This window comes from Homo sapiens, chromosome 9 (assembly GCF_000001405.40).
Source record: "Homo sapiens chromosome 9, GRCh38.p14 Primary Assembly".
Lineage (NCBI taxonomy): Eukaryota > Metazoa > Chordata > Mammalia > Primates > Hominidae > Homo > Homo sapiens.
In genome coordinates this window covers 5,648,975-5,666,473 of record NC_000009.12, presented here as the reverse complement: position 1 = coordinate 5,666,473, position 17,499 = coordinate 5,648,975, and the positions used below count along the sequence as shown (strand labels likewise).

The 17,499-nt window shown below is 38.9% G+C and overlaps 1 protein-coding gene across 10 annotated transcripts in view; it reads right to left on the bottom strand.

The window, feature by feature from the left end:
• The window catches only part of RIC1 (RIC1 partner of RAB6A GEF complex), a 149,527-nt gene that overhangs the window by 112,160 nt on the left and 19,868 nt on the right, over nucleotides 1-17,499 (bottom strand). For 9 of the 10 annotated variants that reach the window (XR_428426.4, XR_007061331.1, XR_007061330.1 and 6 more), the window contains exon 2: nucleotides 9,784-9,891. Coding sequence is in view for 5 of the 10 variants with exons in the window: in NM_020829.4 (NP_065880.2) it covers nucleotides 9,784-9,891 (108 nt within the window). In the remaining 5 variants the exon portion in view is untranslated. Of the gene's footprint in view, nucleotides 1-9,783; nucleotides 9,892-17,499 lie in introns of those variants that run through there. The other variant, XM_017014936.2, reaches the window with a different exon arrangement.

The window sequence follows — 17,499 nt, the reverse complement described above, 5'->3', positions numbered from 1 at the left end:
GCTAGAACAAGAACAAGATAAGGATACCCACTTTTACCACTTAATTCAACATAGTATTGAAAGTTCCACCAAGAGCAATTAAACAAGAAAACGAGATAAAGGCATCCAAATCAGACCACAGAGATGTATAAATAATGCACACAAAAATTATTAGAGCTAATAAAGTTAGCAAAGTCGTAGGATATAAAATCAATACACAAAAATCACATATATCCATACAGCATGGAAGAGAAAGGTTTCCTGCAGTGTAGCACAGCCACACTGCCAGATCATGGCCAGACTGCTTCTTTACGTGAGACCTCAATCCACTCCTCCTCATGGGGTAGTGGGTCTTCCCAGCTGGGGTCTTGAGCCACCCCCAATTAGACAGAGCTCTAATTTCCCCCCAGGACGGAGTATACCTGAGTGGTGGGGTAGGCTGCCACACTGGCATTCAGGCTTCTCAATCAGTCCAGCCTGTGGGTCCTGGAGAGCCCATACCAATTGGGGGGCTGAAGGAATCCCCAACACAGCACACCTGCTGCAGCCAGACTGCTTCTTTAAGTGGGTCCCTGATCCCGTTCCTCCTGACTGGGTGACATCTCCCAACAGAGGTCTCCAGCCACCTCCTCCAGGCACATCTGAGCTAACAACAGGTCAGTACCCCCCTGTGAAGGAGCTTCCAAAGAAGAAGGAGGCTGCCATCTTTGCTGTTTTGCAGCCCTCCCTGGTGATACCTCCAGGTACAGGAAAAATCGAGGCAACTAGGGTCTGGAGTAGACCCCCACAAATGGCAGCAGTTCTATGGAAGAGTGGCCTGTTAAAAGAAAAACAAACAGAAAACAACAATATCAACAAAAAAGACCCTACAAAAAACCCCATTCAAAGGTCAGCAACCTCAAAGATCAAAGGCAGATAAGCCCACAAAGATAAGAAATTAATCAATGCAAAAATGCTAAAAACTCAAAAAACCAGAGTGCCTATTCTCCTCCAAATGACCACAACACCTCTCCAGCAAGGGCTCACAACTGGGCTGAGGCTGAGAAAGCTGAATGACAGAAGTAGGCTTTGGAAGGTGGGTAACAACGAACTTCACTGAGCTAAAGGAGCAAGTTTTAACCCAATGCAAAGTAAGAAACATGACAAAACAATACAGGACGTGCCAAGTTCTTAGAGACCTTCAAAGAGACTTAGACTCCCACACAATAATAGTGGGAGACTTTAACACACCACTGACAATGTGAGAGATAAGCAGCCAGTTTAGAGAGGAAGTTAACTGACCTATTAGAGCTGAGAAACACACTACAAGATCAAAAAAGACAAAGGGCATTACATAACAATAAAGGGTTCAATTCAACAAGAAGAGCTAAATGTCCTCAATATATACGCTCCCAATGTAGGAACACCCAGATTCACAAAGCAAGTTCTTAGGGACCTTGAAAGAGACTTAAACTCCCACACAATAATAGTGGGAGACTGGAACACACCACTGACAATACTAGGAGGAGCCAGTTTAGAGAGCAACATAACCGACCTGTTAGAGCTCAGAAACATACTACAAGAACTTCACAATGCAATCACAACTATTAATAGCAGAATAGACCAAGTGGAGAAAAGAATCTCAGAGCTTGAAGACTATCTTGCTGAAATAAGATAAGCGGACAAGAATAGAGAAAAAAGAATGAAAATGAATAAAACCTCTGAGAAATGTGGGATTATGTAAATAAACTGAACCTAAGACTGACTGGGGTACCTGAAAGAGATGGGGAGAATGGAACGAAGTTGGAAAACATATTTCAGGATATCATCCAGGAGAACTTCCCCAACCTAGGAAGACAGGCCAACATTCAAATTCAGGAAATGCAGAAAACCTCAGTAAGATATTCCCTGAGAAGATCAACCCCAAGACATATAATCATCAGATTCTGCAAGGTCAAAATGAAAGAAAAATGTTAAGGGCAGTCAGACAGAAAGACCAGGTCACCTACGAAGGGGAGGCCCATGAGACTAACAATAGACCTCTCAGTGAAAACCCTAAAAGCCAGAAGAGATTGGGGCCAATATTAAACATTCTTTTTTTTTTTTGACAGAGTCTCGCTCCGTTGCCAGGCTGGAGTGCAGTGGTGCAATCTCAGCTCACTGCAACCTCTGCCTTCTGGGTTCAAGCAATTCTCCTGCCTCAGCCTCCTGAGTAGCTGGGACTACAGGTATGCGCCACGACACTCAGCTAATTATTTTTGTATTTTTAGTAGAGATGGGGTTTTTCACAATGTTGGCCAGGATGGTGTCGATCTCTTGACCTCGTTATCCGCCCGCCTTGGCCTCCCAAAGTGCTGGGATTACAGGTGTGAGCCACCACACCTGGCCAATATTAAACATTCTTAAAGTAAAGAATTTCCAACCCAGAATTTCATATCTGGCGAAACTAAGCTTTATAAGCAAAGGAGAAACAAGATCCTGTTCAGACAAGCAAACGCTGAGGGAATTCGTAACCATCAGACCTGCTTTGCAAGAGCTCCTGAAGGAAGCACTAAATATGGAAAGGAAAAACCATTACCAGCCACTACAAAAACACACTGAAGTAAACAGATCAGTGACACTATGAAGGAACCACATAAGTCTGCAAAATAACCAACTAGTATCTTGATGACAGGATCAAATCCACACATAACAATACTAACCTTAAATGTAAATGGGCTAAATGCTCCAATTAAAAGACACAGAATGGCAAGCTAAATAAAGAACCAAGACCCAGCGGTATGCTGTCTTCAAAAGACCCATATCATGTGCAAAGACACACATCCCAAAATAAAGGGATGGAGGAAAATTTACCAAGCAAATGGAAAACAGAAAGAACCACGGACTGCGATCCTAGTTTCTCACAAAACAGACTTTAAATGAAAAAAGATAAAAAAGGCAAAGGGCGTTACATAAAGGGTTCAATTTAATAAGCGCCAAATATCCTCCATATATGCACACACAGTATAGGAACACCCAGATTCCTAAAGCAAGTTCTTAGAGACCTTCAAAAAGACTTAGACTCCCACACAATAATAGTAGCAGACTTAACACACCATTGACAATATTAGGCAGATCACCAAGACAGAAAATTAACAGATATTCATGATCTGAACTTAGCTCTAGATCAAGTGGACCTGACAGATATCTACAGAACTCTCCATCCTAAAACAACAGAAACTAATTGTTCTCATCATCACAAGGCACTTACTCTAAATTTGATCACATAATCGGAAGTAAAACACTCTTCAGCAAATGCAAAAGAACTGAAATGATAACAGTCTCTCAGACCACAACACTCAAAAAAATTCACTCAGAAGAATTAAGAAATTCACTCAAAACCACACAACTACATGGAAATTGAACAGCCTGCTCCTGAGTGACTTGAGTAAATAATGAAATTAAGGCAGAAATCAAGAAGTCCTTTGAAACTAATGAGAACAAAGAGACAATGTACCAGAATCTCTGGGATGCAGCTAAAGCAGTGTTGAGGGAAATTTATAGCACTACATGCCCACATCAAAAAGCTACAAAGATCTCAAGTTAACAACCTAACACCACAACTAAGAGAACTAGAGAAACAAGAACAAACCCAAAAGCTAGCAGAAGACAAGATATAACCAAGATCAGAGCAGAACTGAAGGAGATAGAGACATGAAAGACCATTCAAACGATCAATGAATCCAAGAGCTGGTTATTTAAAAAAATTAATAGAATACATAGACTGCTAGCTAGATTAATAAAGAAGAAAAGAGAAGATTTAAATAAACACAATCAGAAATGATAAAGGGGATATCATCCTGACCCCAAAGAAATACAAACAATCATCAGAGAATACTATAAATGCATCAATGCACATTAAATAGAAAATCTAGAAGAAATGGATACTTTTCTGGACACATACACCCTCCCTAAGACTGAACCAGGAAGAAACTGAATCTCTGAATAGACCAATAATGAGTCCTGAAATTGAGAAGTAATAAAGAGCCTAGCAACCCAAAAAAAAAAACCAGCCCAGGACAGACAGATTCACAGCTGAATTCTACCAGAGGTACAAAGAAGAGCTGGTATTATTTCTACTGAAACTATTCCAAAACAATTGAAAATTAGGGATTCCTCCTTAATTCATTCTATGAGGCCAGCATCATCTTGATACCAAAACCTGGCAGAGACAAAACAAAAAAAAAGAAAACCTCAGGCCAATATGCTTGATGAACATCAATGCAAAAATTCTCAACAAAATACTGGCAAATATCCAGTAGCCCATCAAAAAGTTTATCCATCATGTCCAAGTAGACTTCATCCCCGGAATGCAAGACTGGTTCAACATACACAATTCAATAAATGTGATTCATCACATAAACAGAACTGAACACAAAAACCACATGATTATCTCAATAGATGCGGAAAAGGTCTTTAATAAAATTCAACATCGCTTTAGGTTAAAAACTCTCAATAAACCAGATATTGAAGGAACATACTTCAAAATAATAAGAGTCATATATGACAAACCCACAGCCAATATCATAATGAATGGACAAAAGCTGGAAGCATTCCCCTTGAAAAAAGGCACAAGACAAGGATGCCCTCTCTCACCAGTCCTATTCAACATAGTATTGGCAGTTCTGGCTGGGGCAATCAGGCAAGAGAAAGAAATAAAGGGTATTCAAATAGGAAGAGAGAAAATTAAACTATCTTTGTTTGCAGATGACATGATCCTATATTAGAAAACCCCATTGCCTCAGCCCAAAAGCTTTGTAAGCTGATAAGCAACTTCAGCAAAGTCTAAGGATAGAAAATTAATGTGCAAAAATCATTAGCATTCTTATACATCAACAGGCAAGCAGACAGCCAAATCATGAATGAACTCCCATTCACAGTTGGTCACAAATGAATAAAATACCTAGCAATACAGCTAACAAGGGAGGTGAAGAACCTCTTCAAGGGGAACTACAAACCAACTTTCAAACAAATGACAGATGACACGAACAAATGGAAAAACATTCCATGTTCATGGCTAGGAAGAGTCAATATTGTGAAAATGGTTATACTACCCAAAGTAATTTATAGATTCAATGCTATCCCCATTAAACTACCACTGACATTCTTCACGGAATTAGAAAAAAGCTATTTTAAAATTCATATGGAACCAACAAAGAGTCCGAATAGCCAAGGCAATCAAAGCAAAAAGAACAAGGCCAGAGGCATCATGCTACCTGACTTAAAACTGTAACACAGGGCTACAGTAACCAAAACAGCATGGTACTGGCACAAGAATAAACACATAGACCAACGTAACAGAATAGAGAACCCAGAAACAAGAACACCCACCTACACCATCTGATCTTAGCAAACCTGACAAACACAAGCAATGGGGAAAGGATTCCCCATGTAATATATGGTGCTGGGAGTACTGGCTAGCTGTATGCAGAAAATTGAAACTGGACCCCTTCCTTACACCCTAAAGGAAAATGAACTCAAGATTGATTAAAGATTTAAATGTAAAACCCAGGAAGAAAATCTAGACAATACCATTTGGGACACAGGCACAGGCAGAGATTTCACGACAAGGATGACAAAAGCAATTGCAACAAAAGCAAAAATTGACAAATGGGATCTAATCGAACTGAAGAGCTTCTGCACAGCAACAGAAACTATCATTGGAGTGAGCAGATAAACAACAGAATGGTAGCAAATTTTTGGAATCTATTAATCTGACAAAGAAAGGTCTAATATCCAGCATCTACAATGAACTTAATAACTTACAAGAAAAAAAAAATCCCATTAAGAAGTGGGCAAAGGACATGAACAGACACTTCTCAAAAGAAGACATAAATGTGGCCAACAAATACATTTTAAAAAGCTCAACATCACTGATTATTAGAGAAATTCAAGTCAAAACCACAATGAGATACCGTCTCACACAAGCCAGAATGGCTATTACTAAAAAGTCAAAAAACAACAGGTGCTGGTTAGGTTGTGGAGAAAAAGGAATGCTTTTACACTGTTGGTAGGAGTGGAAATTAGTTCAACCATTATGGAAGACAGTAGGCAATTCCTCAAAGACCTAGAGGCAGAAATACCGTTTGACCCAATAATCTCATTACTGGGTATACCCCCCAAAATATAAATCATTCTATTACAAACATTCATGCATGCATATATTCACTGCAGCACTATTCACAATAGCAAAGACATGGAATCAACCTGAATGTCCCCCGATGATAGACTGAATAAAAGAAATGTGGTACATATACACGATGGAATACTATGCAGCCACAAAAAGGAACAAGATCATATCCTTTGCAGGGACATGGTTGGAGCTGGAAACCATTATCCTCAGCAAACTAACACAGGAACAGAAAATCAAATACCACATGTTTTCACTTATAAGTGGGAGCTGAATGATGAGAACATATGGACACATGGGGGAAACAACATACACTGGGGTCTGTTAGAGGATGGAGGGGCAGGGCGCAGGATGAGGGAGAGCATCTGGAAGAATAGCTAATGGATGCTGGGCTTAATACCTAGGTGATGGCATAATCTGTGCAAGGAAACCACCATAGCACATGTTTACCTATGCAACAAACCCACACATCCTACACATGTACCCTGAAGTTAAGTTGGAAAAAATCAGATATATGTCTACACACTTGGAATGAACAACTGAAAAGGAAACTTAAAAACAATTCCATTTACAATAGCATCAAAAAGAAATTTAAAACTTAAAAATAAATTTAATGAAGCAGGAAAAAGACTTGCATACTGAACACCAGAAAACACTCCTTACAGAAATTGAAGGTCTAAATAATTGATAAGACATTGCATGTTCATAGGCTGGAAGACTTAAATTAATGCTTCCCAAAGAGAACTACAGATTCAATGCAGTCTCTACCAAATTCCCAATGGTATTTTTTACAGAAATAGAAAACCAGTTCAAACAGTCATATAGCATCTTAGGGACTGGCTCAGAATAGTCAAAACTATAGATGATACTGAACTTATGATGGTTCAACTTACGACATTATGATGGATGTTTGGGGCTGTTAAATTTTTTACTTATGGTATTTTCAACTTACAATGGGTTGACAATGGGTTGACATGACTTATATCCTGAAATACAACAATAAAATTGGAGGATTCCACTTCCTGATTTCAAAAGTTACTACAAAGCCACAGTAATTTAAAAACTGTGGTACTGGAATAAGGACAGACATATATAACAATGAAACAGAATGGAGCATCCAGAAATAACCCCAAATACCAATGGCCAATTGATTTTCAACAAGACTACCAAGACCGTTCAATGGGAAAAGAATAGTTCTTTAACATATTGTACTGTAACATTTAACATAAAGTACAACTTTTTTTGGTAATATACATCCACTAATGAGAATTAGATTCTTTTTGTGGAAATAACCTTTTTGGTAAATTGGGGTTTAAAGTACTTTTCCCTATCATCAAAATTGAGTGCAAATTTTCATCTATTAATGCTGGTCCTTAATGACATTTTACATAATTCATATTTGAAAACATTTTCTAATACAGCAAAAGCTATTTTCCAAAGTTATTTAGTGTCTGTTAAGTGGTAGATGGTGGTCCTTCAAGTAAAGAAAAAAAAAAAAGTCAGTCTCGGTAAAAAAAAAAACAAAAAAACTTTCCAATAAACTTTTATCACTACCCAAGCCATAACAGCTGTGGAGGAGGGCAATTCAAGATATTCCTGCTTCCATCTCTGAAAAAACTTACACTAACCATAGGTTTTAAAAGTCTTATATTTTCACAAACTTTGTAAATCTGTCCAACTAAGTCTTTTGCTGCTCCATGTGGATTTTTACTACTATCAATTAATACAACTTCTTAGATTCTACTTCGGGTTGTACTGAATTAGTATTTTCTCAACTCCTTTGAGAATTTTTTTCATCTGGAATTGTTCTGCAGGTCATTCACAGTAATTCTTAGTCAATTCATACTTCACATGGACCACTGAAATTTACAACTGAGCAGTATTATAACATCTGTCAATTTATCAAAAACTAAGCAAACTTACTTTTACTGCACTTTCATTTTCATATTTTATTTTTGTGAAGGAATTTTGTGGTGAGCTGTTCTGTGCTAAATTTTTTAATTCTTCTAACTTAACCTTCAGTACATTCTGATAAGTGCTTAGTCTAGTGATGTCAGCTTATATTCTTTTGGCATAGCTATAGTGCCATTGAATAATAAATACAATATTTTGCCATCTAATTCAATAATAAAAGAAACCACACTACAGTGTGCTTTAAAAACAAAACAAAGTCTTTTTGTCTTCTTTGGTTCTTTTGACATGAGTATGTACTAGAATAAAAATAATATAAAATGTCACAGAATGGCAATATGTGTACACTTGAAATGTTATGAAGTTACAACTGTGTTACTACACAGTGCATTGAACAGAAGAGCAAAGCAATGAGAGCACCACATACACTTGCTGTAAGAACTTCAATTCAATCTGCTATTGTAGCTTGAAAGAAGTTACAGACAATACATAAATCAGTGAGGATTTTCGTGCCCCAGTAAAATTTTAGTTATGGACACTGAAATTTAAGTATCACATAATTTTCAACTGTAGCAAATATTCTTCTTTGACTTGTTTTGATTATTTAAATATGTAAAAACTATTCTTACATTATGGTCTGTGTACAAACAGGCACCAGGGCATATTTGGTACATGGTCAGTCATCTGCAAACTCCTGCTATAGGAAGCGTAGAACTACTCAGTATTTTTCATCATATGAACATTTCAGACTATTAACCTAGTCAGTGTTATATACAGTATGGACTAGAAAGGGACCAACGCAAAGAGATAAATTAGATATAAGGATATAGTAAATGGAAGCTGAGTAGCTAAGTTTATACCTTATCTCTCTAATATACACTACGCATGTAACCTTGGATAAGACAATTTTTCAGATCCTCAATTTACACATCCATTATGAAGGATAATAATATCTACTTCAAAGCACTTATCTAAAGATTAAATGGGATGATCCATGTAAACTGATTACAATTGTACTCATCGGATAGGAGGTGCTCAATAATGTTAATTAACCACATATATTACTGCTAATGCATATTAAGTCATAATGACAGCCTTAGACAGTGATGAAACATGAACTGAAAAGGTAAAATTAAACATATCTAGGCACGTTTAATAGAACAGAAGAAAAAAAGGAGAAACAGATCCAAATGGATATGGAAATTTTAGTATAACATATGCACATAAAGCTTATTATTTTCTGGAATATCTTTTGGAATGGAAGGGAGGAATTTAAATATAAATTCAAGAATATCATGTGAATATGTTTTAAAAAACTAGATAAGACTTCAAGGACAAAACAGTAAAGTGAGAACAACAAACAGAAAAGGATATAGGTGCTATGTTTAGGGATGGAAGGAAGCAGCAGAGTCAAAACAGAAGCTATAGTAGGAGTAACACGCACAGAATAATTAGTAAAGCAGTTAGACTTCAAGGGCAAAACAGTAAAGTGAGAACAACAAACAGAAAAGGATACAGGTGCTATGTTTAGGGATATAGGTGCTTTGTTAAGGAAGTAGCAGAGTCAGAAGAAAAGCTATAGTAGGAGTAATCCACATAGAATAATCAGTAAAGCAATTCCTATCAGAATAAAATAAATACTTATGAGTGCAAAAGACTGAAAGAAAGTCATCTAAGAGAATCAAATTTAAATGCGATGTAATGATTTCATAAGAAAACACTATTTAGCGGTAAAATCTACTTACTGATACAGCTATCATGGTACTATCTGGCCTCCATTCAGCTTGCTTGTAGGATCCAAACTGAGTAGATGATTTTGCAGGCTCCTTGTAGGTTACAATTAACACACTAGGCTGTGTGATTAAAAAAAAAAAAAAGTTGTATTTTTTATCAATATCTCATAAAAATACACAAATAAAATTTAAGATAACAGAGTATTCAAAGTATTTTTACAGTAAAATAAAAGACAATATTGATATTAAACTATCGGCTTTCAACATTGCAAGCATATCAACCAAAACAAAGACCTAAACCTACGCCTGTATTATTAAAGAAACTGAATTAATAATTAATAATCATCCAAAACAGAAAGAACCAGGACTAAATGTGTTCATAGGTGAAGTCTACCAAACGTTTAAGGGAGAAATTACACCAATTCTTTACAAAGCCTTCCACAAGATAGAAGCAGGAGTACTTCCTAATTTTGAGTCCAGCATTCCCTTAATACCAAAATCAGAAAAGGATATTACATGAAAAGAAAACTACAGGCCAGGCGCGGTGGCTCATGCCTGTAATCCCAGCACTTTGGGAGGCCATGGTGGGCGGATCACAAGGTTAGGAGATGGAGACCATCCTGGCTAACACAGTGAAACCCCGTTTCTACTAAAAATACAAAAAAATTAGCTGGGCGTGGTGGCAGGCGCCTGTAGTCCCAGCTACTCAGGAGGCTGAGGCAGGAGAATAGCGTGAACCTGGGAGGCAGAGCTTGCAGTGAGCCGAGATCACAACAACACTGCACTCCAGCCTAGGTGACAAAGCGAGACTCTGTCTCAAAAACAAAAACAAAAAAACACTACAGATCAACATCTCTTATGAACATAGATATAAAACCTCTCAACAAAATATTAGCAAATCAAATCCAACAAGGTATTAAAAAAAATTAAACACCATAACCAAATACGATATACCCCAGAAATACAAGCCTGGTTCGGCATTCAAAACTCAATTAATATAATCCATCACATCAACAGGCTACAGAAAAATCACATGATTATTTCAATAAACACAGAAAAAGCACTTAACAAATCTAACAACCAAGATAAAAACGCTGAGCAAGGCCGGGCGCCACGGCTCATGCCTGTAATCCCAGCACTTTGGGAGGCTGAGGTTGGCAGATCACCTGAGGTCAGGAGTTTGCGACCAGCCTGGCCAATATGGTGAAACCCCATCTCTACTAAAAATACAAAAATTAGCCCGGTGTGGTGGCAGGCGCCTATAATGCCAGCTATTTGGGAGGCTGAGGCAGGAGAATCACTTGAACCTGAGAGGTGGAGGTTGCAGTGAGCTGAGATTGTGAGACTGCACTCCAGCCTGGGCAAAAGAGCGAGACTCTGTCTCCATAAAACAAAACAAATAAACAAAAAACACTGAGCAAACTACAGAACAACACTCATTCATGATTTTAAAAAAACCTCTCGGGAATAGAAAGAAATTTTTTCAACGTGATAAAGAAGATCTATGAGAAACCTACAGCTCAACGCTTTCCTGCTAAGATCAGGAACAAGGGAAGGATGTCTCCACTCACAGCAGCTTTTCAACAGAATAGTGGAAGTCCCAGCTAATTCAATAAGACCACAAAAAGGAATAAAAGGTAAAGAGATTGGGAAGGAATAAATAAAACTGTCTTTACTCATAGATAATGTGATCATCTATGTAGAAAATTTGACAGAATTGACCCAAAAATCCTCCTAGAATAAGTAACTATAGCAAGGTTACAGGATCCAAGATTAATATACAAAAGTCAATAAATTTTCTATATACCAGCAATAAAAAAGTGGAATTTGTCATTATAAACACATTTGCAGGCCAGGCGCAGTAGCTCATGCCTGTAATCCCTACACTTTGAAAGGCCAAGGCAGGCAGATCACTTAAGGTCAGGAGTTCAAGACCAGCCTGGCCAACATGGTGAAACCCATCTCTACTAAAAATACAAAAATTAGCCAGGTGTGGTTACATCTCTACTAAAAATACAAAAATTAATCCCAGCTACTCAGGAGGCTGAGGCAGAAGAACTGCTTAAACCTGGGAGGTACAGGTTGCAGTGAGCTGAGACTGCGCTACTGCACTCCACCCTAGGCAACAGAAACTGAATCTCAAAAACAAAAACAAAGCTGGGCACAGTGGCTCACGCCTGTAATCCCAACACTTTGGGAGGCCAAGATAGACAAATCACCTGAGGTCAGGAGTTCGAGACCAGCCCGCCAACATGGTGAAACCCCGTCTCTACTAAAAAATTACAAAAATTAGCTGGACATGGTGGCAGTCACCTGTAATCCCAGCTACTCGGGAGAATGTGGCAGGAGAATCGCTTGAACCCGGGAGGCAGAGGCTGCAGTGAGTCAAGACCACACCATTGCACTCCAGCCTGGGTAGCAAGAGTGAGACTCTACCTCCAAAAAAAAGAAACCAAACAAACAAAAACAAAAAATACACACTTGCAGCCTGGGCAACATGGTGAAACCTTGTCTCTACAAACAAAACAATACAAAAATTAGCTGGGCATGGTGGCACACACCTGTAGTCCCAGCTACTCAGGAGGCTGAAGTGGGAGATTGCTCGAGCCTGGGAGGCAGAGGTTGCAGTGAGCTGAGATCATGTCACTGCACTCCAGCCTAAGTGATAGAGTAAGATGCTGTCTCAAAAACATAAAAAATGTAAAAAGCATTTTTAAAAAACTATGTAACACAATACGTTTATCTATAGAAAAAAGTTACAAAACACTAATGAAAGATACCAAAGAAGAGCTAAATAAATGGAGACAGGCTGGGTGTGGTTGTGCATGCCTGTAATCCCAGCACTTTGGGAGGCTGAGGCAGGCAGATCACCAGGTCAAAAGTTTGAGACCAACCTGGCCAACACAGTGAAACCCCATCTCTACTAAAAATACAAAAATTAGCCGGGCGTAGTGGTGTGCACCTGTAGTCACAGCTACTCGGGAGGCTGAGGCAGGAGAATCACTTGAACCCAGGAGACGGAGGCTGCAGTGAGCCAAGACTGCGCCATTGCACTCCAGCTTGGGTGACAGAGTGAAACTCCGTCTCAAAAAAAGAAAGAAAGAAAGAAAGAAAGAAAAAAATAAATGGAGACATATACCATGTTAATGAATACAAAGACTCAATACTGTCACAATATGTCAGTTCTTCCCAACTTGATATACAGATTTAATACAATCTCAATCAAATTCCCAGCAATTTATTTTCTGGCTATCAACAAAGTCACTCTAAAGTTGATACAGAGAGGCAAAAGACCAAGACTAGCAACTTAATACTGGAGAAGACAATGTTGGAAGACCGGCATTACCTGACTTCAAGACTTACTATAAAGCTAAAGTAGTCAAGAAAGTGTGGTATTAACAAAATAATAAACAAATCAATCAATGGAACAGAATAGAGAGCCCAGAAATAGACACACACAAATATATGCCAACTGATCTTTAACAAACAAGGAAAGGAAGTACAACAGAGAAAAGACAGTCTTTGCAATGAATAGTATTCAAACAACTAGACGTCAACATTCACAAAAATAAATACCTGATGAACACAGATGCAAAAGTCCTCAACAAAATGGTAGCAAACCAAATTCAACAATTCATCATGATCAAGTAGGACTGATCCCAGGAATGCAAGGATGGTTCAGCACAGACAAATCAATAAATGTGATATATTACATTAACAGAATAAAAGGCAAAAACCCCATGATCATTTCAGGAGAGGCAGAAAAAGCATTTGACAAAACTCAACATCTATTCTTGACAACAACTCTTAACAAATTAAGAATAGAAAGAATGTAACTCAACACAATAAAAGCCATATATGACAAACCCATAGCTAACACTACTGAATAAGGAAAAGTTGAAATCTTTTCCTCTAATCTGGAATAAGACAAGGATACTATCTTTCACCACTTTTATTCAACGCAGTACTGGAAATCCTAGCCAGAGCAATTAGGCAAGAAAAAAAAAAGAATAAAAAGTATCCAAATTAATTGGAAAGGAGAAGTCAAATTAACACTATTTGCAGGTAACACAATCTTACATATAGAAACCCTAAAGATGCCACCAAAAAAGTGGTAGAACAAAATAATTCAGTAAAGTTGTAGAATACAAAATCAATATACAAAAACCAGTAATGCCTCTATACACTAATAGTGAATTAGCTGAAAAAAGAAATCAACAAAACAATCCCACTTATTAATAGCTATAAAAAAACCCAAAGAACAAAAAATTTAATTGAAGAAGTAAAAGATCACTACAATGAAAACTATGAAACAGTAATAAAATGAAGAAAACACAAATACATGGAAAGATATCCCATGTTTATAGATTGGAAAAATTAATACTGTTAAATTGTCCATATGACCCAAAGTGATCTACAGATCCAATGTAATCCCTACCAAAATACCAATGATATGCCTCACAGCAGTGGAAAACACAAGCCTAAAATTCATACTGAACCACAGAGGACCTCAAATAGCCAAAGCAATCTTGAACAAAAATAACAAAGTTAGTGGAATTACACTACCTGACTTCAAAATATACTACAAAGCTGTATTAACCAAAACACCATGGTACTGGCAATAAAAGCAAATAAAACAATGGAACAAAATAGCCCAGAAATAAATCCATGCTTTTACAGCCAACTGATTTTCAAAAAACAGGTGCCAAGAGCACACATTGGAGAAAGGATAATCTAATAAATGGTGCTGGGAAACCTGGATAGCCACATGCAAAAGAATGAAATTAGACCCTTATCTTACTATACACAAAACTCATTTCAAAATAGATTAAAGAGGCTAGGTGCGGTGGCTCATGCCTGTAATCCCAGCACTTTGGGAGGCCGAGGTGGGCAGATCACTTGAGATCAGGAGTTCGAGACCAACCTGGCCAACATGGCAAAACCCCATCTCTAATAAAAAAAAATACAAAAATTAGCTGGGCATGGTGGCATGCACCTGTAATCTCAGCTACTCGGGAGGCTGAGGCAGGAGAATCACTTGAACCCAGGAGGTGGAGGTTGAAGTGAGCTGAGATCACACCACTGCACTCAAGAATGAAGGACAGGGTGAGACTGTCTCAATAAAAAAAAAAAAAAAAAAAAAAGATTAAAGACTTAAATGTAAGACCCAAAACTATGAAACTACTGGAAGAAAAACATAAAGGAAATGATTCATTATATTGGTCTGAGCAAGGAATTTTTTGGATAAGACCTGAAAAGCACAGGCAACAACAGCAAAAATAGAGGAGGGGCTTCAAGATAGCTGACTAGAGACATCAGCCCTTGCCTCCTTCACAAAAAAAAAACCCAAACAGGGAGGAGTCACACTTTCAACAGAACATCTAAGACACAACACTGGAATTTAGCAGAGAAGTGACAGGAAACACCTAAAGCAAGGAAGAAGAGGGAAGCAAGGTTGTTTGCTTGGCCTTTATCGACCTGGAGCACAGAGCAGATCTCCAGTGTGGGGGAAAGGTAAATGAGAGATACCCAGCAGCTCACACTCCCACCACGGACTCCTGCAACCCTAGCTTACAGAGAGGGGGTCCAGAGACTAGCATAGAGAACTTCTTAGAGACCATGTGATGACACTGCTCCAGAGAGAGAGCTCACACTGGGTCCTGTACCACCTGCATGAGACCTAAACAGTTACAGCATGGTGTCATTTTCAGTCCAGCTCTTAACAGGCTGCATCCTGCCCTTGAGCACAAGAGTCCCTGCATTTCCACATTAGTAAAGCCCTACTAACATTCCCTGCATCCACCTGGGGGCCTACAGTGATGCAATGCCACTTGGACCCAGCAGAGTGGCAGAGTCCCTGGTATTAAAGCATATATAAAATCCTACACTGTGGAGAACAGGCAAGTGCAATGCACTGGGGAGGGTATACTGGGGAGGCTATCACAAGGACAAAAAGAGCCAAAGCGTACACTTCTGAGAGCCTAAACCCTGCTAGCCTGGGGTTGCTGCCACTGACAGTAACCCCATCTCCACTAACAGCAAGACTGCAGCACACTTGAACATGTCCTGAGGACAGAATCTCCCAGCATGCCAGTGTCAATGTTCCTGACACTGCTTGGAGCAAAGCATACCATACCTGCCCCACCCCAGCCTCTGGTGTGAGGCTACTGACACCGACACCAACCCTATCCCCTCTAGTAGCAGGGCCACAGTGGACATGCACATGCCCTGAGGCAAGGCTCTCTCTATCCACTGTTGCTACCTGAGCACTCTACCAGGGGGCCTGAAGACAGGCCCACCTGGCCTGGCACCACATACCCCCAAGGGCCCAAGCATAGAGATTGGAGCATAGAGATTGCCTCACCCTGTCTGCCACTCACACATACGCACTCCTACAGGGAAGCCTGAGAGTCAGCCCACCCAGCCTGATGCTACCATCACAACTACTGCCATAGCCCATACCACATGCACTGCCCAGGGATCCAAGGACCTACCCACTCACCTGGTCATCCACTGCAACCACCAGCACCTAAGCAAGCCATATGGAGGCCTAAGAATCAACCCAATTAAACCTGCTAACACCATGCCTGTGTACCCTGGGGCCGAAGGACAGGCACACAGTCTGCTGCTGCCACCACTGGTGCCCAAGGACTGGCCTACCTAGCATCCCACTGCCCAGGAGAACTTCACCTCAGCCTCTGCTAACAATTGCACCCTAAACCACTGAGGAAATCACAGACACCACTAATGCTATATATGGCTAAAAAGGTCATATGAAAAATACACTACTGCACACACCCAGAATCAAAGACAAGGTGCCCTACCCAACCAACACCACGGATAGATCTTCAGGAAAAAGTCTACCTCTCTGAAAGCCAATCTAAAAAACTGGAAGAAGCAACTGTTACACCAGAGGTACAGACATCAACTTGTAAGTATACAAGTAATGTGAAAAAAAAAAAACAAGAAATTATGACATCTCCAAAGGAACACAATAATTCCCCAGCAACAGATTCTAATAAAAAAGAAATTTATGAAATGCCAGCAACAGGATTCAAAATAATACTAAAGACACTCAGTGAGATAGAGAACACAAAAATACAAAGAAATCAGAAAAACAATTCAAGATATGAATGAAAAATTCACCAAAAAGATAGATATCATAAAAAAGGAACCAAACAGAAATCCTCAAACCGAAGAATTCACTAAGTGGAATAAAAAATACATTCAAGTGCTTCAGCAATGGATGATATCAAGCAGAAGAATGAATTTCAGATTTTTGAAATAACTCAGAAAACAAAACAAGAATAAATAAGAATGAACAAAGCCTACATGACATATGGGACACCATAAAGTGATCTATTTGAATTTTTGGTGTTACAGAAGGCAAAGACAAGATCAAAGGAGCAGAAAAAGAACCAATGGACATTCAGGAGTATTCTATGTAATTACCATTTATTTAGACAGTTTTCTAAGTTCCTCTTGGTATTAATTTCTAGTTTGAGGATTCTACTGTGGTCTAAGAAGACACTTGATATAGTTTTGAGTTTAATTTTTTTTTTCTTTTTTAAGATAGGGTCTATCTCTGTTGCCAGGCTGGAGTGAAGTGGCACAATCATAGCTCATTGCAGCCTTTACCTCCCTGGCTCAAATGATTCTCCCACTTCAGCCTCCCAGAGTTTTAAAATGTTTTGAGACTTGTTTTGTGCATAGCAAAGGAAACAATCC